At 43.5% G+C, this 23083-nt stretch overlaps 1 protein-coding gene across 15 annotated transcripts in view, besides 1 other annotated feature; it reads right to left on the reverse strand.

The window, feature by feature from the left end:
• AOAH (acyloxyacyl hydrolase) overlaps positions 1–23083 on the reverse strand; it is a 211554-nt gene that overhangs the window by 91846 nt on the left and 96625 nt on the right. For 14 of the 15 annotated variants that reach the window (NM_001177507.2, XM_011515334.3, XM_017012102.3 and 11 more), the window contains 5 exons: positions 18404–18464; positions 16924–16994; positions 15995–16043; positions 13511–13559; positions 11594–11688 (listed from right to left, as the gene is read on the reverse strand). In NM_001177507.2, the coding sequence (NP_001170978.1) occupies positions 11594–11688; positions 13511–13559; positions 15995–16043; positions 16924–16994; positions 18404–18464 (325 nt within the window). Of the gene's footprint in view, positions 1–3470; positions 3693–11593; positions 11689–13510; positions 13560–15994; positions 16044–16923; positions 16995–18403; positions 18465–23083 lie in introns of those variants that run through there. The other variant, XM_017012105.2, reaches the window with a different exon arrangement.
• Positions 10713–11214: an enhancer, noted in NCBI's record as "H3K27ac-H3K4me1 hESC enhancer chr7:36655105-36655606 (GRCh37/hg19 assembly coordinates)". NCBI's record gives its function as "activates a minimal SCP1, AML or CMV promoter by ChIP-STARR-seq in primed H9 embryonic stem cells {active_cell/tissue: H9 hESC(primed)}" and the evidence as "EXISTENCE:reporter gene assay evidence [ECO:0000049][PMID:30033119]".

Raw genomic sequence — 23083 nt, forward strand, 5'->3', positions numbered from 1 at the left:
CCAAATTTGGGACTCTGTGACCACAGCTGAGCCCATATCCTGCTCTGTTAAGAAGAGCTGATGCATCCACTCATTCTTGTTGGCTCTGAAATATATGTTACCAACATGAGACCATGACCTCTTTGCTGCTTTCTGCTCCGCTTTCCTTTGAGCTCTTTAGCGGTCAGGCTTAGTGATGCTATCCTCAATTTCTGCCTCTGGAATCTTTGGACTTTGTACTTCATGCATGCTCTTCCTTATATTCCTGCAGGAATTAGGTCATCACTAATGACCTAATTTAGTGGTTTAGCTCATCACTGTGCCCTAACTCCCAACCATTTCCTTGAGTGGAAATTCTGTATGATTTCCCTAGGAAATCATATAGAAGCCAGTCTTGCCTCCTAGACGTTTGACTAGAGCTGGGCTGGATAATCTCTGCCTACTCCCACTCCTCCTAAGGAATTGCATGGAAGGAATTAGTTGAAAAAACAATGAATGAACAGTGTATGACAATTAATTCCAACCACCTAACATTATTTTTAAATGATGGAATTTTCTCTTTCCACATGCCAATGAACTTGAGATTCTAGGCGTTTCCCCTGTGATGAGTAATTTCATGAGCTCCATTTGATGGCTAAGGAATGTGGGGGAGAGTGAAGCAGGTGACAGACATAATTAACCAGGGGACAAGAGATTGTCCTCTAGTTGCAGCAGCAGGCTGGATAGCACAGGCATTGACTGACTCACACTGCCTCCTGATACAGAAGTCTTTATTTCATGTTCTGGCAGAGCAGGTATGTGGGCTGAGTAATTATAAATGCTTTTCAGAAGTATGGAGTTTAAAATAATTTCCTCTTGTAGTTTTCATAACAACTGGTGTTTGGCTTTTTACTTCTCTCAGTAGGCAGCAGGGCCAAGATGATGGATGTTCCCATGAGCCTGGGAGTGCACCCTACATGGCTGGCAGGTGAGAGACGCAGATTCTCACCTTGAGTAGGGAGAGAAGGGCATCGAGTTGATCAGAATTCAAGAACGGCCTGTCTGGCCTGTTCATGAACAGGGAAAGGAAACGGAAGAACATTCTGTCTCTTGTGGCCTCACTGCTGCTGGAGAGCAGAATTCACCACGGTGAACACAACTCTCTTTTTCTGACAGAATCAGTGAGAAGTAACTAGGATTGAGGTTTCTCTCCTCATCACCTAGCATCTTTAATCCGCTAGCCTGCAAGATGGCTGAGGAGCAGAAGATGTGATTTTGTCCAGTTTTACTAAACAATAGCTTTTCTTCATCTTAAAATATAATAAGAAAGCACTATAATGCTTAGATATTTCTGGAGTCGACATGAAGGTAACTCAGATAGAATTCCCATATTTTGTATGCATCATGAAAATCTTCCTCTGTGCTTAAGGGAGGCTTTATGTGCAGTGATAAATCCAGACAGCGGGAAGCAGGGCGGGTGAGTGAGCGTAGGGTGACAGCTTCGATACTGCCTGTGCTGTTTGTGGGTTAATAAAGAGTAGCCAAATCTGATATACAAAATCATCTCAAAGGGAGAAATGAAGTGCATATAAGCTTGAGAGATGGGAGCCGCTTTGCTCTCTAGTGAATATGCATTTTCAGCAGCTAGATTAAGGATTCATTTTGTCCTTGACACAGCACGAAATTCAATCTGCGCCTACTTACCCTACAGACAACAGCCTGCCAGGGGTCGTGCAAAGATTTTATAATGGGATAGGCAACAGCCTTAGCTAGCAAAATAAACATTTGGGAAATTGTATTTCAGAATTGCTTCTCTCTCCTCACCCCCTCCCCCAACCTGTCATGCAATTCTGATTCAGTGAAATGCAGCATTTAATATGTTGGAAATAATTTTTGAACAGATGGGGGAAGAAGCAGGAGGGCAGCATCCCTTGCTGGCCTCAATGATCTTTCCACCTCCTCTTCTTTTTCAACAAACAACTCAAGCAGAGATTGTTTTTTCCCTTGAAAGAAAAGAAGAAAAAAAACAAAACCAGCATGAAAGTGTTTTTGGATTTGCTCTTCATCTTCCTTTGACATCTTTCTAAGTTGAGGTCTTTCTTGTGGCGTGAGAAGGTCGATTTGAACCTAACTACTGAGGTTTAGATATTTCGGAGAGAAGCTCAGGTTGTTTAAGAAGAAAGGGAGCAGACAGGTCGGAATGAGACTCAGAACCCTTTGTGTCTCTGGAACCATGAGAGAGAGTCTTCATACTCTCTTTATTGAACTACAAATATCTTTCCAGATGAATACACTCCTAATCTAATTAGCTGTAAACAGGACTCCCGGGTGCCCCACTACTTAAGCAGAGGATGGCAAGAGCAGGAGAGGAGAGGGGCTGCTGCAGGGAGAATGCCTGACAGTGGATTCCTTTTCAGCGAATACAGCTGGGATGGGGTCATGTACGCACAGATGTGTTTTCTGCCTTATAGGGAGACAAAGGCAAAGAAGTATCAACTAGCCTCATAGAAGGCAGAAGGGCCCATTATGAAACAATGCCCACTTGTTTTTCTACAGCATTTACTGTGCTTGCCAGACAATACGATCAGGTCCTTGGTGCAGCAAAGGAATGGAACGAAACATGTCTGGGCTTCCTGAAGGGTCTTGATTTGTAAATGCATTCCTACCATCAGACCCCAAGGGAGACTCCTGCTGGTGTTTGAGGTCTTTAACTGGCACATGAGGCAGGCAGTACTCATAGGGTGCAATGAGACAACTCCTTCCTTTTTCCCACTGCACACTCATCTGTGGTGCTAATTCATCCCTTGCCCTGGAAGAAAATCCAGACCAGCCCAATTATGCACATGCTCATTCTCAGAAACATACACTCTTCCGGTTATATTCAATTCCATTTCAGAAAAGAAAAATGTTCAGTCTTCACAATTTTAAGTAAAACTTCTTGCTCCCTGTCCATCCTGGGCTTGAGGCTGATTATCTGCACCCAGGGATGGGAATGTGGTCCACTTTCTTTGTCTACTTGGCCAGCTTTTCCTTCCTCTTGCTGGCTGAGACTTGCGGTGGAGGGAGAAGAGGTACAGTCGGGTGTGATTGCCTCTAGCCGGGCAGATATCCAAAGCTGACTTTCTATAATGAGGGCTGTTGTGGGGCTCTTGAGAGGCACTGTGGGGAACAGGTGACTGAACTTGCCATGGTGGAGTGTGTGCATTCTCTGCACTCCACTAGTCACTTAAGTTTGCTGCTTCAGCCCTGCTCAGCTGGAGGTTAAGCCCTGTGAAGTCACCTTGCCCCTGCAGGCCATCCTCTGCAGGATGTCCAGTGGCCCAGGCTGGCTCTCCCTTCCTGGGGCTCATGTCCTTGTCCAGGGCCCACGCTCTTTCTGTCCTGCTGCCTCGGTCACTGCTCTTACATTCCCCATGGGGGTGTCCAACACCAGTCCTCTTGGGCTCAGTCTCTGCAGACCCCTATCCAGTTATCTTAGTGGCGTCTTTACAGTGAGGGGGAAGCACACTTACCTTCCCCGACAGGGAAAGCTGAGCCCCACTGTCCCTCTGACACTGGCCATTCCCAGCCTCAACTCTTCTGGACCTTTGATTCTGGAGATAAGTGACAGGTTGCAGAATTGGCTTCACTCCCTTCCTTTGCAGGCTCTGTGGACATGGTCTCATCTTTCACTTGGAAGAAATATTGGTGGTGGGAAGGTGGGAATAATTTGTCCACATTGTCTCAGGCCTTAGCTAAAATGTAGATAGAAATAAATAGTCCAATTTTTAACATTTATAAAAATGATTCCCGATTTCTGACAAGGTAGCCATCATTATTTATACTTTTTAGATGAGGAAACTAAAGCTCAGAGTAAAGAAGTGAGTGTAGGTGGCTCAGCCAGGATTTGAACACTGGTCTGTTTGAGTCAATGTCCGAGACTATTCTACATGTAAGTTAGGGGCTTGAGATTCTCCACTGGGCACTGTCATGACTGTGGAGTGAGCTTGGCATGTGGCTATCAGTAGGGTGGCCAGACATCCAGACTTGTCTGAGCCAGTCCAGGTTAATGCCTGTTGTCATGGCATAATTATGGGAGCAATCCCTCTTCTCTCAAAGTGTCCAGTTTGGACAATAAATTATATGCTCACCATAACTATTAATATTAGGAGCTGTTGCGGCGGGGAGGGGGGGGGGTCTGGTACAAAGAGACAAAAAGCACCAGAAGTTTCCTAACAGGGATGGCTCTTTAGTAGTCTCCAAAGGCTGGCTGAGACCCTGTGGGAAGACCTGCAATTGGCAATGAGCTCTAGGCAGTCTCCCCCAGAGGAAGGATGCTGGGGGACAGCCCAAGGTCAACCCCAACCCGGTGAGTCATCTGGCTGGGGTAGGGTGGCATCTTGAGGAACCCTCATAAAGTATACGGGATGGGAAGGGTGCATCGTCCACTCTTGATTCCAGACTTCTGAGTTTGTTCATCTTGTTTCTTCCCCACTGTACTTTTCTAGCTTAGCACACTTTTACTGGAATTACAACTAGAATTTTCCTAGCTGGTCTTGCTGCCTGATCCCCGCTCTCCCCCTAAACCAAATAAATTCATCCTGCCCACTGAAATCAGAGTAAATGTTCTAGAATTCAAATCTGCCCCTTTCTCAGTTTAAAACCCTTCAATGGCTCCTGCTTGCCTTCAGGATAAACTCCAGCCCTTTGAGATCTGCCTCCCATGCACCTCTCTAGGCTCTTGTCTCACTGTCCCACCTGGTGCTGGATGAGCTTTAGTTCAGCTGCACTGAGCTCCTCCTCAGAAGGCTGGACCCTCTTGCTTTCAAGCCTTTGCACGTACTCTTTCCTCTGCTAGGGCACGCCTTCCTAGGTTGACTGGGACCTGACTACCTCCAGCTCTGTTCCCCTGCTTTGAACACAGTGTCTCTCCCTTCAGGCAGCCTTTCCTCCAGTTTGCGGGGGAGCGTGTGCACATTACAGCACTAATGGCTCTAGAACTGCTACTTCTTCGTCCGCATTGCCCCATGGGGTTTTAAGCTCTATGGGCACCAGGGATCTTTCCATCCTTTTCCCCATTGTCATCCGATCACAGGGCTTGGCACATAGTAGACCTGGCTAGCATTTGTTGAATTAATTGTTGCATGAACAGTGCTGTGCTGCTGGGCCTGCAGAGATGTGACTCTAGAATTTTTGCCTAAGTTAGAACTGACATTTTGTTTACACTTGCCACAAGCACGAAAAACCAGACAATGGAAACACGAGGTGTCTGAGCTCAACACACCTCATGGCTATTGGCTAAGCCTGGTATTCTTACCTAGGCTGACTCCTTGCACAAATGAAGAGATTCTGTAGATAATAGTTTTTAAAAATTGGAAGGTTTTTTTCTTTTTTTCTTTTTTCTTTTTTTTTTTAAGGAGAATGCTCCATAATAGCAAAAAAAAAAAAAAAAAAAAAGAATCGGTTTAACATCCTGCTGTAGGTGGGTGGTTTAGTAGATTATTGCATGGCCCCTGAAAAGGTCATTACAGAGCAGCAATAAATATAATGAGTATAAAAACAAAGTCGTAATGAGGAAAATACTTATGAATTGAATAAAAGAACTGCCAATTGCAAACTTGCTCTTCTTGTAACAGCATGACGTGTGTATATATAATATACATATATGCATACAAGGGGGAGTGCTGGAAAGAGTGCAAAAATACTGTGAAAAATTTAAGATGGTGGGGTTATTTTTTACTTCTTAAAATTAGCTCTATCATTGGCTTTATAACTTTTTTTTTTTTTTAAAAAAAAAGAATATTAAAGAATATTTCAAAACAAGCCTGATACTCCAAAATGTTAAGGTGACTCTCTCTGGGTGGTAGTATTAAGGAGGAATTTTAATAATTTCCAAATAATTTCTTTATTTTCACATTTTCTCAATCATATATTTAACATATATAATTAGATAAAAACAATAAAGCGTATGCACTCTCTTCCTTCTCCCACTCTGGGCAGTCATGCCTCCTTCCCCAATATCTTGATTGTGGTCACATGACTGGCTTTGGCTGTTGGGTTGATGGTGGACAGGGCACAGATTGCCTTGTTGCGCTTTGACATCACCATGACAAGAAGACGCTCTGGATAGATTGCCCAGCCAAGAAAAATGAGAGACACATGGCACACACCTGGGCCCAGCCTGAAGCTTGGCGCCAAGACCAACATAGCTCAATTGAAAACAGCTGATCCCAGACCACCCCGGACGCACGGGTGAGAAGAAATGATGGTTGTTTTAAGTCACTGGAGATTTGGAGTGGTTGGTGGTTATTATTTTGACAATAACTTGGTGATAAAGCTTCATTTTCAGTATCAACATCCTGAGCAAAATGGATCTCTTATTCTTGTCCCGTCTCCTATTCTTACCAAGTGGCCAGGCTGAGAGTGGCTGGGCCAATTTTTAGCTTGGAGAGGAATGTTAATCTAGAGAGATTTTAATAACCCCGGAACACTAGAGGCTTAAAACAGGTGACAAAATGATGCTGAAACTGTAGTGTTGTTCCTCCTACCCGTAGTGTTATTACCATCTTGATAAGACTCGTGAATTCCAATGAACTGTTATGCCTGATTTGGGTTTCTCATCAGCCCATTCTCACAGGCATTTCTCAAAACAATTTACTGCCAAAACGTAGGAGTGGGGAGTAACCCAAACCAATACCAACAAATGCTGTTCGACAGCACTTGAATCAATTCATTGCTGCAAACAGCAGATGAAAACGATTACAATCTAAATTTTACTTGTTAAGTCTCTAGGATGGGGCCGGCTGCTGGGCTTGCTGGAGTGATTTTCTTAAAATGTCTACTGGGTGGGCCCCTCTTTTTCCTGGAGAATTAGCACACTGCAGAGTGAGCCACTGTCCTCCTGGAGAAAGTGTGGGCCCCAGGTTACGAAGACACTCCTTTCCTCAGCCTCTGAGGCCAGAAGCAGGAACAGGGAGGACAAGTACAAGGATTTCAGGCAACCTCATTAACGATCACCACTGCACTGCCAGAGCCGTGTGTCAGTCTACTTTGTCTGGTTGGAATTCAACATACTGGTCCGCAACATTTTCATAGACCTTAGCTCATTGAAGCACACGGCCCTTCCTGACACTGTTACTATCATCATTTACAGAGTCTCTGGTTAAGCGGCTTGTTCAGGATTACGCTGACAGGCAGTCATTCCACCACCTGTTAGTTGTATGACCTTGGGCAGTCCACACAACCTCTCTGAGAATCTGTAAAGTGAGGCAGTGTTGTAATAACACTTACCTTAGAGGGCTTTTGCAAAGATTGAATTAAAAAATGCATTGGTTTTCCTTAACTGGTTTCCTTAGCTATTTGCTTAAAACAAATAGAACAAACAAATCTCCAAGATCTTGAGCCACAATATTTGGTACACACATAATACAAATTCAGTGAAGAAAAGTGAGAAAAAAAAAGTTACCTATAATTCTACCATCCAAAGATAGCCAGTGGTAGGTAACATGCTGACCTACAACTTTCCAATTATTTTTTTGTTTGCACACAGACACACATATATTCACAAAATTGGCTCATACATACTATTTTGTAACCTGCTTTTGTTGCTTAACCGATTATCATAAACATATTTCTTGCCCATAAATATGTCTATTAATATGTGTATTAACTGGTTGCACAAAATTTCATTGTACAAATATAGTATATTTTTACATCCCCTATTTTTTGATTTTTAGTTTCTTTCCTCATTTTTGCTCTTATAAATAAATACCTCTGTGATGAATATTCCTGTACATATATTCTTGAGCAGATAATTGATCATTTTAAAAGGCAAATTTGCAGATGTGAAATTACAGATGTGAAATTTGCAGATGTGAAATTTTTAGTTAAAAATCACAAATATTTTAATGTTGCCTTATACATGTTGCCAGATTGCCTTTCAGAGAAGTTCTAGTAACTTCATCTCTTGTTGGTGAATTAACATGCCTATTTCACCATATTTTTGCTAAAACTGGGTCTTTATCACTTTTAACCTTTGTTTGTTTGACAACGATAAATGAATTGCATTGTTATCTTAATTTGTTTCTTACTGCTGAAAATGAAACTTTTATATTTACTGGTTATGTTCTTCATCATTAAAAATTAGATTTTTTTCTTATTGCTACGTAGAAACTCTGTTAATTAGAGGATTTAAATCTTGCCTTATATTTTGTAAGTATTGTTCTACTTTTACATTTCTCTTTTAATTTTGTGAATTTTTTTGACATTGTACACATTTGAAAATTGTATGTAATTATATCTAGTTTTTTTTGTGTGCTTCCTTTTACAATATTATGCTTAGAGAGACTGGAGTATTTCTTAAAATAATTTTTTTTCTGGGAAGGCATATGTCTGGTATATTTTCTGACTCTTTGAATGACTGAGAATAAGCTTCTGTAGTCCTCATGTGAGAACAATAGCTTGCCATACAGCACTTTCAACACAATTTTTCCTTCTTAAAATTCTGTAGAGAGGCTGTTCCGCTTTTTCCTGAAATTTAGTGTTTAGTGATAAGTCTGATGCCAGATGGATTTTCCCTCCTAGTATCTTCCCTCGTTGTTGGTTTGTTGGGCAGGATGATTCCAAGATTTTTCTTTATCCTTGGAATAAATAAGGAAAAGCAGGAAACACAGAGAGTCTATTTTATACCCTGGCCTGGCACGTAGTGGGGGTTGTGGGCTGAAGACGGATTTCCCCAACTCAAGAAAATTATCTTGTATTACTTATTTAGCCACAGCTTCCTCTCTGCCTGATGTCTTTTCTTTTTCTGCAGTTTCTATTCAATTGCCAGGACCTTTCCTGCATGCCTCTCTCCTCTCTTCCCTCTTGATTTTCACAACTAGCCTTTCTCCTGAGTTCCAGAATTTCCCCAGCTGCCTGACCACTTTGCTCTCCTGTTTTCTGCACCATCCAACTTGCAAGTCAGTATTGCCACTGTATTTTTAGATCAGGTAGTTGTTTCACCTTAAGGCAGTCTTCCCTGATTTCTGAGTTCTTCTTTTTCATGTGTGCAATTTCCTCTCAATTATTGTTGAGAACCTGAAGTTAACATTTTGCAAAATGTCACTCTCTTTCTTCCCATAAGCGTTTTTCAAAACAGCGCTCTTCATTTGTATTCTTGAGCAGTTTTCATATGTATCCGGATGTGTTTCCCCACTTGCTCATCTTTACAGAGGGAGAGCTATGCTTGCCCAGTGTGGGGGCTTGGGAGAGGTTCAACCAGAGACTGTTTGAGTTCATGTTCAATTTATTTAATCTAGGAAGAGGAGGTCAAGGAAAAAATGATAATTTCTGCGGGTTAATTTCTCTGGATCAGTTTCAGTTTTCTGGGAGAGGGAAGAGGGAAGCACATCCATAGGTGGCTGTATGACAGGGCTTCCCCACCGTGCCCATGTCCCTTTCTCGAGGGCAGGGGCACCACCCCCTTCTCTAATGGACACGGTGGCTCTTGGGACGAGTCTGTTGTGGCACTGCCCCACATTTTTTATTGTGTTGTTTGATAGGTCCATCCAGAAGTAATGGCTGTGAGCTGCTATTCCCTGTGCAGTGCATCAGACCCGGGCAGGGCTTTATGTGTGTGCAACCAGTGGGTCCCATGAGGTCCTTCGCTTAGAAAGGGCCCTGCACTGGGTTTAATGCTCTGCTGCCCCACCTTGAACTTCTTAACAATCTTATTTTTGAATTTGTGTTTGTTATGTGAGTGAAGTCCAGTGGGCCAACTGAGCATGTGTGAGCGAGGGGACTGGAAACGGGGTCGACTCTGGATCCTGTCTCCTGCCACCTCTCAAGATGGGTTCCTGGCCACTCACTCCCCAGCCTGTCTTCTCCTTCTTGCCCTGCGACTGCTGCACCCTCCAACAAAGTGGCAATTAAATGGTGTCAATGGGGGAGGCCTGTGTTCCAATGTTAACCTTTGGTCCTTTTGGGAATCTGGGCACAGGCAAGAGGAAGATTGGGGTTGGGCATGGTGGCAGCTGTCACCTGCCCCAGCCGGCAGTGCTGGCATCTGGTGGGCAGAGGAGACAAACTCATTACCCATCCAAATAATTAGCATGTTCCAGCACAGAGGTTTGAAGACTTTTGGGGGTCACCTGACTGCTGTGGACTGGGGAGACAGGCCCTGGGAAGGAGAGATTCCTGGCTTACCTGGGGACCCATGGAACACTGGCAGGAGGAGGAACCCAGCAGCTCTCAGGCCTGAGTGTTTCAGGTTGGGAGCCTCAGTGCCTGGGAGGGTCTGTAATTGCCCTAAGCATCTCCTGGCCTGAGGAAGTGTTCAGTCTGGTGGACTTGTGCTCCTGGGAAGCCTCTATTCCTCCTTCCAAACTTCCCGAGTCTGGCTTGCCTTTTCTGTCTTCTGGGCAGCTGAAAGCACCCTCCAGGGACAAGCTACTACATAAGAATTGTGTAATTTCAGTGATTCCATCTGCATAGGAGTTCAGTGCTGTTACAGTGGCATGTAAAACTGGCATTGCATAATGTGACGATGAACATAACATTTGTGTCAATAATTTAAAAATTTATTTTTTTAGAATGACATTAAATAGCAAATAAGAAAATACCATGACATATTGAGGGAGACTGCCAAAGAAAAGTGCTTTATATTTTAGCACCTTTAACGGAACTTTCGAACAAGGTTTGCTGAGGGCACCTGTACTTTTATTTTGCACTGAGCCCTGCCAAGTATGTAGCTATCCCTAGGCACAGGTTTTGTTACATTTCCTCACGATAACTTATGGCCACAGGAAGCCCCAACTGCAGGTGACCCATCTGATACCACTGAACCCCCTGCTTGTGTGTGTGGCATTCAGACTGCCCTTCCCTGCACCCTCCAGCTCCCACCCTTTGCCACACAATCTCCCCAGGTGTTTGCACAATTTGAGAGGAAGATAATGGCCCTCCTGATAATGCAGCAGGTGTGTGCTCAGGTGATGAACTGGTAATATACAGGGTTGCCATTATATGTCTACCCCATATTTAGGTGTCATTCATCTGAGTAATGCATACAAATCTCTCTTATAGTGCCTGACACCTGATATAGAGTCAATAAATGTTGGTTTCCCTCCCCTTTCTTTGCCTTCTCTGTCATTGTTTGCAATTTTGCCTTGTGGCCCTCTTCTTTTTTTTTTTTATTAAAAAACCCTCCCAGACAGTCTCATCACTCTTTGGGAATGGATGGCGGGCTTGTCTGTCCCCTGATGCCTTCCGTGGAGCACAGCAGAGGCCATCAGGAGCCGAGCAGCCTGCTCTGCCCAGAGCTTCTTGCTTGCTCAGACGAAAAACAAGCTGGACAGGCCCCGGAGTGCCTCATCCTGACCTCCACGGGGAAGCCGGCCCGGTGGGCTTTGTCCTTTCTGTGCATTCTCCACCTTCTTGACTCCCCACTGCTGCCTTCAGGGTTCCTGGCAGCAGCTGGGCTGAGGCTGGGGAGGTGAGTAGAAGGAACCTTTTGCCATTTGTCTAGGACTGAAATGACTGTGGATATGCCTTTCATGGCAGATTTTGCTAAAGAGGGAAATTTGCACCTGTGTGGAGTTGGCATCCCATTTAGAGAGAGCAAGAGGAAACAAAAACAAAGGCCAGCACATCTGGAATGATTACTGCCAAAATTACTTACCAAAGACATCTGCGACGCTGTGATCCATTCAGGAGAGATGTGAAAATGAGCCCCAGCTGAGTCTCCCAGCAAAATGATTCCCCTGGGCTGTGAACCTAGGCAGCACAATTTATTCACATTATTTATGCACTCAAGTAGTTTGGAACCTCCAGACTGGGTAGATATAAGAGCGGATACCCTAGTGTGTATTCCAGGCACCGAGCATTTTCACAGTAATGCATTACCACTTTTCGCATGTTTGAGAGTGAGGGGCATAGCATTTCGGAGCTGAATGAGATTTCCAGGCCATTGGAGCTGCTAGCTAAGATGTAGAGATGCAGGTGTGTTTCCCAGCTCAGCATAAAACATCTTGAGTGAATGATGGATGAATAAGTGAATCAAAGCTTTATCTGAAATCCGAAATATACCCAAATTTTGGTTCTGGAAATTGCTTTCTTGAAAACACACCAACGTCCATTACAATTCACTTTAAGGGTTAATGATCTTATGGAGCAATTTTGATTTTTCAAGGATGTTATGGTCTTTTAAAGCCTTTAATCCATACAGGCAAAAACACTGGATAGATGATTCTGACTGATGGAGACACGGAGATAGAAAGGTCTGTATGCAGCCCTGTTTGTTTGGAGGTTCACAATCACTTCATCTGACTCTGAGGCCCATCCACACGAATCAGTCACCTGTGAACTCATTCTTCCAAATTCCTTAAGATCCTGAAAGACTGAATTGATGCCTCCCAGAGGCAGAGAGAGGCACCTCCTTTTTCCACTTCCAAACTCCTCAAGTCATGCAAGAGGGTGGCCTAGTCTCACTGCAGTGGCTCCCCAGGCTGGGCTTCATGGAAACCACTATTTGGCCACAGAAATGGGGACTGAGAAGGCCCAGGACATCCTGGAGGGCACAGGGAGAGTGGGATGTGGGGAATCTAAGAGGCTTTGCACCAGGGTTTCACCTAGATCTGCATATATTTCATTCATTGGTTTAGTTGTTCATTCATTCTTTATTCATCCAACAAATATTCCTAAACTGCATAAATATGTAATGAGCCTTTACATTTTCTATTCCTCTTCCTGCCCTCTGAGGGCTTAAAGACAATTAGGCTTTAAGTTGATACACAGCAAAGACTATATACTTTTTGTCCAAGAAAACTCAGAGCCAAGTATAACCGTTGGTTAGAATTGGACTTGTTGTTCAGAAAATACCTGTTGAATGAGTGAATGAATGAATGAATGAATGAGGTGATTGTGGAAGTGGGGAGAGAAGCATTGCCTAAATATAAAACAGTGATGTTACCATCAAGTGTTGGCATCACCAGGAGCATATTTTCAGTAATGTGTGGGGTGGTGAGGTTTCCCCAATGGAACTGGTGGCCCAGATGTTTGTGCCATCTGGGCACTTAGAGCACAGAGCTTTTGCCCAGCTATTTTTGGGAAGCCCTCACAAGTTATAGTCTGGCAGTCTCTCTGAAGTCATTCAGACATTCAGATATGCATCTTTAGCCTAGTGGACACAGAGACTCATCCCACCAGTAGAAGTCCGGGTGTCTGACCTTGTAGTGTAATTAGAGGAAAATGCAAAAGATTAAAAACTTCAGTTATGATTGCTGCCTATTTTCTTATTTGGAAAAGTGCTGGATTCCCATTGCTCTTTTATCCATTTTGCAACCTAATCGTCAAGTAAAAGAGTCAATTAAACAAATTGTTTTGCTTTTTTAAGATTCTGCCCTCTTTCCTCCTTTTCTGAACCTTTTAGATACTTTATTTTTTCTGATCTGTCATGAAAATAAATGTAAGTTGGTCAGCATAGAGTAAATCCTAGCATCAAGCACGTTCTGACTTAGGTGGTCTGCTCACTTCAATTTGACTCAAACTAGAAAAGAATATCTATCATTATAACCACAATGACATCCACAATTCATACCTTCACAGAATTTCTTCTCATATGGAACTCCATCTTTTGGATCGACACCCTTTAAAAAAGAAACGATGTGATTAGCAGTTTGGTTTTAAATTTATGAGATACATATACTAAAGCTCTCCTAAATGGCTTTAAAAGCACAAAGGCAAATGAGTAGATAAAACCCTTTAAAGTTTCTTAAGCCCCTAATTCAACATAGCAACGCCCTGTGCGAGCGAGTCGGGTTTGGGAGGAACTGAGGGTGGGAGTAAAGAGAGCCAGACACTGAACCATTTCATTCAGGGAGATGCTGGGTAGGGTTCTGGGAGAGGTGCCTGGACCAGGGGTCTCACCCCTCAGAGCATGGAGGGTCCACTGAGTGACTGGACACAGGGTCTGGGCGGATTCTGCAGTCTCTGAGCTGGAGGTCTAAGTGTCCTGACATCTTCAGTACCTAAGATTGATGCTTCTAAAGAAGCAATTCTCAAGGGGTCCATTTTGCACATTCCTTTAGCCCCTGAGGACATTGGCAATGTCTGGAGACATTTTTTGCTGGGGGAGCTACTGGCATCTAGTGGATAGAGGTCAGGGATACTGCTAAATATCCTCCAGTTTGCAAGACAGCTCCAACAACAAAGAATTATCCAACCCAAACATCAATAGTGCCCAGATTAAGAAACCTGGAAGTAACATTGGGCCTGTGAATGGGACTGAATTGGCACAGCTGGGACATCCTAAAACCTAAACTTAAAGCTACCCCTTAGTGGAGCTGCTAGTCCTTGGAAGGATTATTCATAGTATTCCAAGATGAAAGCACTTGCTGATCAGAGATGTGTTAACAAGAGTGTGCTCACTCTCCAGTCTTGAGAGCTCCCCATGCCCATTAAAACATGAAAGAACCTATTAACATCACACTCAACCCTGGGGTCCCTGGGACACAGTATGGGCAAGATTGGACTTCATGGTAAGACTCCCTCTGAGTTTATGATGTTGTGGTTCTGTGAGTGGTGTTTCCTCTGTGGAAGGGGATAGGTATGAAAGTGATATGTCCTTCTCCCATCACTGATGATGAGCTCTGCATCTTGCCTCCCTGAGCTCATGGTGGATTTCCATTGATCTAGTACAGTCTCTCACTTGGCCTTCCTCCTTATATGGGTGACACACCATATCTGAGGCCTGGGTGGGACCATGGAACGAAGACAGGGCATCACACATTGATTAGTCTCCTTTGTCCTCCAACATGACAACTAAACCTGGGTTTTTCAGAACAAGAGCTGACTTGGGGATCTTGTCACCTTAAGCTCTAGGGGAGATGTCTTCTTGTTCTCCATGAAAAGTCAGAGTGACTAGCGGATAGGGTAGGTGGTGTGGGCTGGGGCACAGCTGTCTCTCATGCTTTCCATATCCTAGAGGCCATGGGACTGGAAAGCATGCAGTAGGTGACTGTTGGTGCAAGCCTGGACTATGAGTGTCCTGAAGAGAGGAAAATATTTACAGAAACTTTTTCTTCTTCATTGAAGCAGATAAATTAAGCAACTCTTTAGAGGCAATTTAGACAATTTATTTAGGTAGGTGTGAAAATAATTGCAGTTTTTGCCGTTAATTACAAAAACTGCAATTACTTTTGCACCAACATAATATCTTGAAGTTAGGGAATCTTAAGCTTCAGGGCCCATCACAGCCCCTGCCCATGTGAGTACTGGGAGTGACTGGGAGCAATAGAGTATTCTAGGTGGAGAGGGGAGGCCAGAACATGTTTCCATGTAAACAGTTCTGGTAAACCAGAAATGAGATCTCAAAAGAAAGGGAACTGAATTTCTGAGACTCCAGGAATTTGTTAAGATTTCTGTGATTGTTTTAAAAATTATTCATTTTCCTATTTGATTTTGTATTTTTAAGTAGATATTCTTTTTTTCATGAGGAACCCTCAAATCTTGTAAGCTTAACACCCCACAAACTTAAGCCTGTTGCTGTGTTAGTTTGGCTTTCCTCTTTTCTTCCCTTTTCTTTCCCCGGGAGCTGCAAATCCATTATTCATAGGAAACTAGGACACCAGCATTAAACGCCTCAAGGTGTGAGTGGTCGGGTAAATACTGAGTAATTTCTGCTCTGCCCGGCTAGGCTTATGAAACAGAAAAAAAAAAATGGCTGCAACAAAATAAGGACAGCATGTGGTTTGCTCCAACAGCTGTGTGGGTTGCTGTAAAACTTTGTTAACACCACTCTTCATTTAATTTCACACTGTTCAAAACAGTATAAAGGGATTAGATGTGGGTGACCTTAAGCAAGGCTTAAAGGGGCCATGACTGAGAAAGCCTCAACTCTCATGACATCATTGACACTCTTCATGCATCATCAGGATTCTATACCCCTCTTCTAAGCAGCAGGAAAAGAGTTGCTTTAGGCTGTCATAGTCTTCCCTGGATCTAACTAAAGCAAATATGTGATGAGCTTTAGGGGAGGGAGGAACAAAGGAGAATGGGGTTCAAGCTGAATTTAGTTGCTTACCCAAATGCCATTACAGTTTGAATCCTGATGGACATCCCAGTTGTTCGGCCTAAGAAAAAAACATTAACATTGGTCTTTGACATATGCTTGTCTCTCAGTGGATGTCAGTTTCATGCATGAATGAATGAATGAATGAATGAATGCTACACGAAGTGCCATGGAGAGACAACAGCATTCTTCATGGAATAGCATCACATCCCATTGTGTGTTGTGACATCAGAAGCCTCCATTCAGCTTCCTTGCTTTAACCTTGGTTTGGGATATTTGCCGGAAGCTCCGGACCAAATCCTGTCTTTTTCATCATTGACTATATTCATGGACCGCATTGTTGTGGAATGGTGCCGATGAACATAATGAACAAATCTGCATCCCATTGTGCCCCTAAATGCCCAAATAACTGGTTTATTTAATGCTTTGACACTATAGTCACAACAAAGGCGAGGGCTAGCATATCTGTTTTTTGATACCAGAGATGCAATTGAACCTCAGCCCAGGGCTAATATATGACATGTTTTCCATTCATTAGAGGCTTCTCCTTACTCCCGGAGGGAGAGGCCACTATTTCTGGGCCCAATTCTGCACGGAGAACTGATACAGAAGGCTGGATAAGTGTCTACAATAAGATAATCTGTTCACTTGATTGTTTTTCCCACTTGACTGTAAGCTCCAGAAGAGGAGGCATATTTCTGTTTTGTTTACCACCCAGCACGATGCAAAGTACTTGGCAAATTGTAGGTCCCTGATAAGCATTTCTCGGACAAACGAACGAATGAATGCCGTTCTTTTTTCACTGAGCTTTACTTCAATCGGAACATGAAAATCTCTTCTCTCTGTAAGTGGGAATCCCCTAGGCTGGGGGAAGGAAATGTGCCTCCTGCTTCCTTTTCTGAAGATAATTTTAAAAATCAGCAACCAGCAGAAATAGTTACCTTCTACCTGGGTACACTGACTCGTCGCTGTCATTACAGTCTCTCCCCCGCCAGTGATAGCCCCGCAGTGTCTGAAATTGAAGAGCACACACAGGAGGGGTTCAGCCTGCTTTGATGTTATCCACGAGGAAGGCTAATCAGAGTTGTCTGAATGGCATTGACATCCACAGTTTTTAATTCAGATTCAATCTAGGATCACTAAAGAGCACTAAGAAAATTAAGATTAATATGATAAGACATGCTGCGTGAGTGACATGTAATATAACACTAGGGCCAATATCAGGTGGTAGGGTGTGTGCATGTGTGTGCATATGTGAATGTATGTGTGTGTGTGTGACATTAAGTGCGTGCTTGTATGTGCATGTGTGGGGGTGCATTGTGTGAATGTGAATGTGTATGTATGGGGGCACGTGTATATGCATGTGTGTGTTTATGTGTATTCATATTGTAGATGTGTGTGCATGTACACACGTGTGTTTGTGTGAATATGTGTTTGCTCATGTATGTGTGTCTACAAGCACCTCCAGAAACAGCAGACCCATCCAACTTCCCAAAAACCCTCTACTAACCATCAGTCCTCTCTGGCTGTAAAACAATTGGCTTATTTGGCCAAATGATTAATTTCATTGGATAATTTAAAAGTCTCTAGCCAAATGGTTAATTATGCAGGTTTAAATATTTGACCTGAATGATGTGAATCAAGAGTTATAATAATGCCAGATAATATTTTTATTTCCTCCATCCCCAAGTAGAATATCTGAGATTTCCCAAACTTTTGGGACTTTGTGACATGTTACTTGCTTGTTGGTTTTCACAGGGAATACCCTGACATTTTAACTGTTCTGAATCAAACGCACACACACACACACGTTAAAAAGTAAGTTAACGTAGATTTAAGAAGTTCCAAAATAATTCACAAAACCTTTCAAGGCAACCATAGCCCCCATGGAGACTTCCAGCTGGGAATGGCAACAAAACCAGTCTGGGCCTAAGATTTACTTCAATGCCTTGTGTATCATCACAATGCTACAAAATCCTTAAAAAATATGAAATGGGCTGGCTGTGGTGGCTCATGCCTGTAATCCCAGCACTTTGGGAGGCCGAGGTGGACAGATCACTTGAAGTCAGGAGTTTGAGACCAGCCTGGCCAACATGGTGAAATTCTGACTTTACTAAAAATACAAACACTACCAAGGTGTGGTGGTGCATGCCTGTAATCCCAGCTACTTGGGAGGCACGAGAAGTACTTGAAACCAGGAGGCAGAGGTTGCAGTGAGTGGAGACCATGCCACTGCACTCCAGTCTGGGGGAACAGAGTGAGACTTGGTCTCAAAAAAGAAAAGAAATTGTGAAATGATGTGTTGTTCATCAAATTAATAATGCATTCAAATGAAATTCAGTCTTGTCTTATTAAAGGAAAGAAATGTGTAGGAAGCAATGTGATGTTAGTGAACATCTGGTTATTCCTAACAATACTTACTGGGAAAACGCTGTATTTGTCTGAATCCACATCTTTGAATGGCACAGACTGTTCCATAGCTCTAGGAAAAAGAAAACAAAACAATCGGTGAGCTAACAAAAAAAGTAACAGTGTTGGTGAAAACAAATAGAGAGACATTTTCTGATACAGCTCTGTTGAGTTTATGCCACAGAGGGCCATTCTAAACAGAAAATTAAGATCCTGTGTGGTGTCAGACAGAGCCAGCAAAACTTTGCCAATCTCTGCTCTTTACCCAACAGAACTGTTTTCTGTCTGATATTAACTTGGCCTGTATGAGGAAGTGAAATAATTGAAGTGAAATTTTAAAGGGCAAGGGGTATTGATGTTGAGATTCCCAGGAAATATGAGACTGCACTTTGAGTTCAGTCAATGAACTCAGCACTACAAATTGAATTTTTGCCATTTTGCACATTGTTATAGAAATCTTTTCTTAAAATTTTACTCTTTTCAATCACTTATCCTGAGAATCTTGACCATTTAGCTGATATTAGCTGGCAACTTTCACTCCCATTCATGAGTCTTGGAAGCCAAGGACCCTGATGTGATGACGAAATAAATTGATGCCAAAGCCATGGACATCCCATGAGGGAGGATTTCCCCTGTGGAATCCTCACCACCAGACTTTTCCCAGCTTCTCAATGTCAAAGACTGCCTTGGGTTTAGAAAATCACTTACACAGTAGCAGAATAATGCAGTCATATGGCAATGAGGCAGGAAAATAGGGTCTGGAGGCAGGAAACATAAGGCCGATTCACACTTCAGCTATAACAGGAAATATCCTCTCCATAGGGCATACGCTGTAAATGACTTTGTAACTTTACTTCATCTTCATCCTCTTCATTTACATAGGGCATACCCCAAGTAGAGGATATTTAAACTCACAAAAACTCTGTAATAGGGCCTTTGAGCCCCTATTCTCAGGCCTGCTTCTACACTGTAGAGTGCACTTTCATTTTCTATAAATCCCTTCATTCCTTCCTTGCTTTGTGCATTTCATCCAATTCTTTGTTCAAGATGCCAAGAACCTGGACACCCTCCACCATTAATGGCAAGATGAGGCTTTCTTTGGAGCCGAGAATTTACAGTGAGTAACACAACCTTTTATAGGAATCACTAAATGGTCTTTTGAATAAAGAGCATCTCAACAGTTCTGAGAACCTCAAGGCAAATAAATGCAACCCAAGACCATGCAGAGCCTAAATGGCAGCCTGGAGCCTGTCTTATGAACTCTGGGATGGGACAGAAGTTCAGCTTACAGGCCTCTTTGGTCAAACACTGGAGGGCACTGTGCTGGTTATATTAGCTTCTATGGCTCTACAGCCTGTATTCTACTCTATACTTTTGGGGCTGGGAATTTTGCAAAATATACTTACCAGGTTCCCTTGGGAACTGGAGCTGGCACTGGTGGCAAGAGAGAGCAGGAGGAGGAGCGGAGAAGTTGGTTTCCCGCTCTGTCTTTCTCTCTCTGGATGTTCCCTTCAGTGACTCTACCTCTAGCCACAGTGGGCCCTCCTGAGGGTCCCAGCACCCGTGGGTGACCCCTTATCCATGGCTCCAGGACTGGCCAACATGGCCTCTTGTTTTGCCCCCAGCAACCCCGCAGCAAGTGGCCTCCCAAGCCTGAGAACACCAACTCCTCCCTTTTGCTTCTTCTGTCCCCCTAGGGATGCTGGTTGCCTCCTGCAGTCCTCATAACCGGGGGGCCTTGCCTTCCTCTTTTTACTGTTTCAGCCTTTTTAGCACTTTTTAAACTGGTACCTTATATTAAATCCTCCTTGCACAGCTCTGTTTCCTGACTGGACCACTGAGAGGAGGACCCTGGGATGAGTGAGTGCTGGTTAGGGTAGGGAAAAGTAGGGAGTGTGGGGAGTCAATAGCCACTTAGTGGACCTAATGAAGAGGGAGCTGCAAGCTGATGTCTCATCACTAGTCCTTCCTACATTCCTGCCCTGGGGGACAGGGGAGGCTGGATCCCTGAAAGGACAAGGCAGCAGGCTCCCTCTTAGTGTCTCCAAGAAGAATTATCCTTTTGAATTCAAGTGCTCTTGCCAGATACTGAGTTGAGCATGGTGGTTCAGTAAAGACTCTGGAGTCAGTTGGAGTCACTGCTCCATCCACCGCTTCCTCACCAGCTCGGCAATTCTCAGAAGTTTATTTAACCTCCCTGAGCCTCATTTTTAAATCTGTAAAATGTGATTCCTGCCAGCTCCCTCACAGGGTTTATTGGGAGGATTAAGGGAAACCACATGAAAAGCCCCCAGTATTGGTCCTCACAAAGTGCTTGCAGCTGTGATTATGAGTGCCTGCTGTCCGAAAGAGGAAATTCACCTCCCCCTTCCATTTGGGGTGGGGTGGGTTGAACAAGGCCAGAGAGAGAGCCACCAGCAGGAAATTAGAAACGTTCTACTTGCTGACTCCACACATCCACACTTACAGGAAAAGTGAGAACCAGCCTTGGGGAAGGTGGAAGATTGTCCAGGAACAGTTCAGGTGTGGGCTGTAGCCAAATTCCACCCCCATGATCACCCACACCTTGATTTTCCCATGGTGGGAGCGGAGGGGAATGAAGCTTCCCGAGTGGGCTCAGAGGCTGTGACGCTGCTCTCCCTTATGCAGGAGAGAAGCTAGGGCAAGATCATCCTTGGGATCCTTCCTGCTCTGATGCTCCAGGGTTTCTAGATCCACCCCATCCCTTGTCTACTCTGAACTACAAATGGTTTTCTCTCACTTTAATCATCTGTCAAGAAATGCGGAAAAAGCTTGGACCAAATGACTTGCAGTCATCCAACATCAGCTGTGACTCTTAAGAAAAGTTTTGGAAAAGGCTTTGAAGGTCACATTTTCTGTGAGACTAGGCAGTTTTCCCCATGTATGTATTTGGCCTCTTGGACAGCGTGTATTTTTCTAGTTGAGAAAAGGAAGATAAAGAAAGAGAGCAAGAGCAAGAGACAAAGACAGACAGATCAACAGAGAGAGAGAGAGAGAAAGAGACAGAAATGACGTAGACCCAAACAGCCATATTTTCAGCCTGAGAAAGAAAAAGGAGCTGCAGGAAAGGTCCCGTTTGGGCATGTGCCAAAGCTATCCCCTCCCACCTTTGTTATCTTGGGGGTGAGAGTTTGTCCTTGAAAGAAGGAACAAAGAGTGGTCTTTAAGATTGGAAAGCTGATTTATTAACCTTTGTCTGCTTACTTTAAAGGCCCCAAGTGACTGGCCAAAGCCATGCATTCTAGACATGAGTGGGTAGACTGGGTACTCAGAGTAGCATAAATTGCAACTTGTGTAATCTCCACAATCCCTTCTTCACAGCCCACTAATCAAAATTTTTTTCAACTTAGCAACAACTTCATTTGGTAGCAAAACTTGACCTGAACTGATATAGGGCAATTCGTAAGCTTTATCATACTTAGTGTGAAAATTCATATATTTCACTCTGAAATATAAATGTGATTGATCAAGAGGTGCCAGGGATAGCAGGTGGGTTATGGTATATGCATTATTGATTATTTTACTAGAATATAAAAAACCTGAATTTCAAATCATATCTGGCTCCAAGGCTTCTTGTTTGTTTGTTTTTGTGTTTGTTTTTATAGAGACGGGGTCTTGCTCTGTTGCCCAGGCTGGTCTTTAGCTCCTGACCTTAAGTGGTTGTTCCACTCTGGTCTCCCAAAATGGTGAGATTACAGGCATGAGGCAATGTGCCCGGCAACTCCAAGGTTTTGAATAAGACATTGTTGACTTTACTAAAAATTATTTCTGCAGAATTGCATCTGAACTTGATACCTTATGTATCCTTAGAAATATCTAGCTGTATGTTGAAATGTTCATTCATTCATTCCTTCATTCCACAGGCATTTTGGGAGTCCCTGCTGTGTGCTGGGAATCATATTAGATACCAGAGATGAGTACAAGATACAGTTCCTACAGTTCCTGCAATTTAGGAGCTTGACATGGGTAAGGAAATTAATGCATCAAAAGATAACTATAGTCCTGGGTGAAAAATGCTGTAAGCGGGTTGTGCATGTAGAGAGGAAAAAAACGTTTCTAACTCTGTATAGCAGAAGAAGTGATCTTAAGGTGAAAGCTAAAGGATGAGACAGCATTTTCAAGGCAAGCAATTGGACTGAGGACAGCGTAGTGGGAAGGAAAAGCCACGGGAATTCTTTCAACGTAGCTCCGGGTTCTGAAATTAGATTCTCTGGGTTTGAATCCCAGTTCTGCTGTCTCCTTGTCAGGTGACCTTATGCAAATTATTTAATCTTTTTGTGCCTCAGTTTTCTCATTGGTAAAGTAGAATCAATATCATTAACTATTTCTTAGACATGGAAAGCACTCAAAAAAAAAACAAAACAAAACACATGAGCTCTTACTTCATGTGCAATGGGAACCCTGATTGCAAGGATGGCTCCTCGGGAGGGGCAGCAGGAGTCAGGTGTCTGCTCTCATCATGATTTGGTTTCTAGAGACATCCCCATCCCAATCCATGGCCCCTCTTCAGATGTTCAGATTTCTGGCCACACGACATTCTATTCAATGACCATGCAGCCTGGTGTCACTCGCTGCCCCTGCTCTGCACCCGCCTGCCACCAGATATCAGGTGAGTCGGCTTGATCCAGGGAGCAATTGTAACTGTGGCTGATTGTTATTAATGACACAGTA

This window comes from Homo sapiens, chromosome 7 (genome assembly GCF_000001405.40).
Source record: "Homo sapiens chromosome 7, GRCh38.p14 Primary Assembly".
Taxonomy (NCBI): Eukaryota; Metazoa; Chordata; class Mammalia; order Primates; family Hominidae; genus Homo; species Homo sapiens.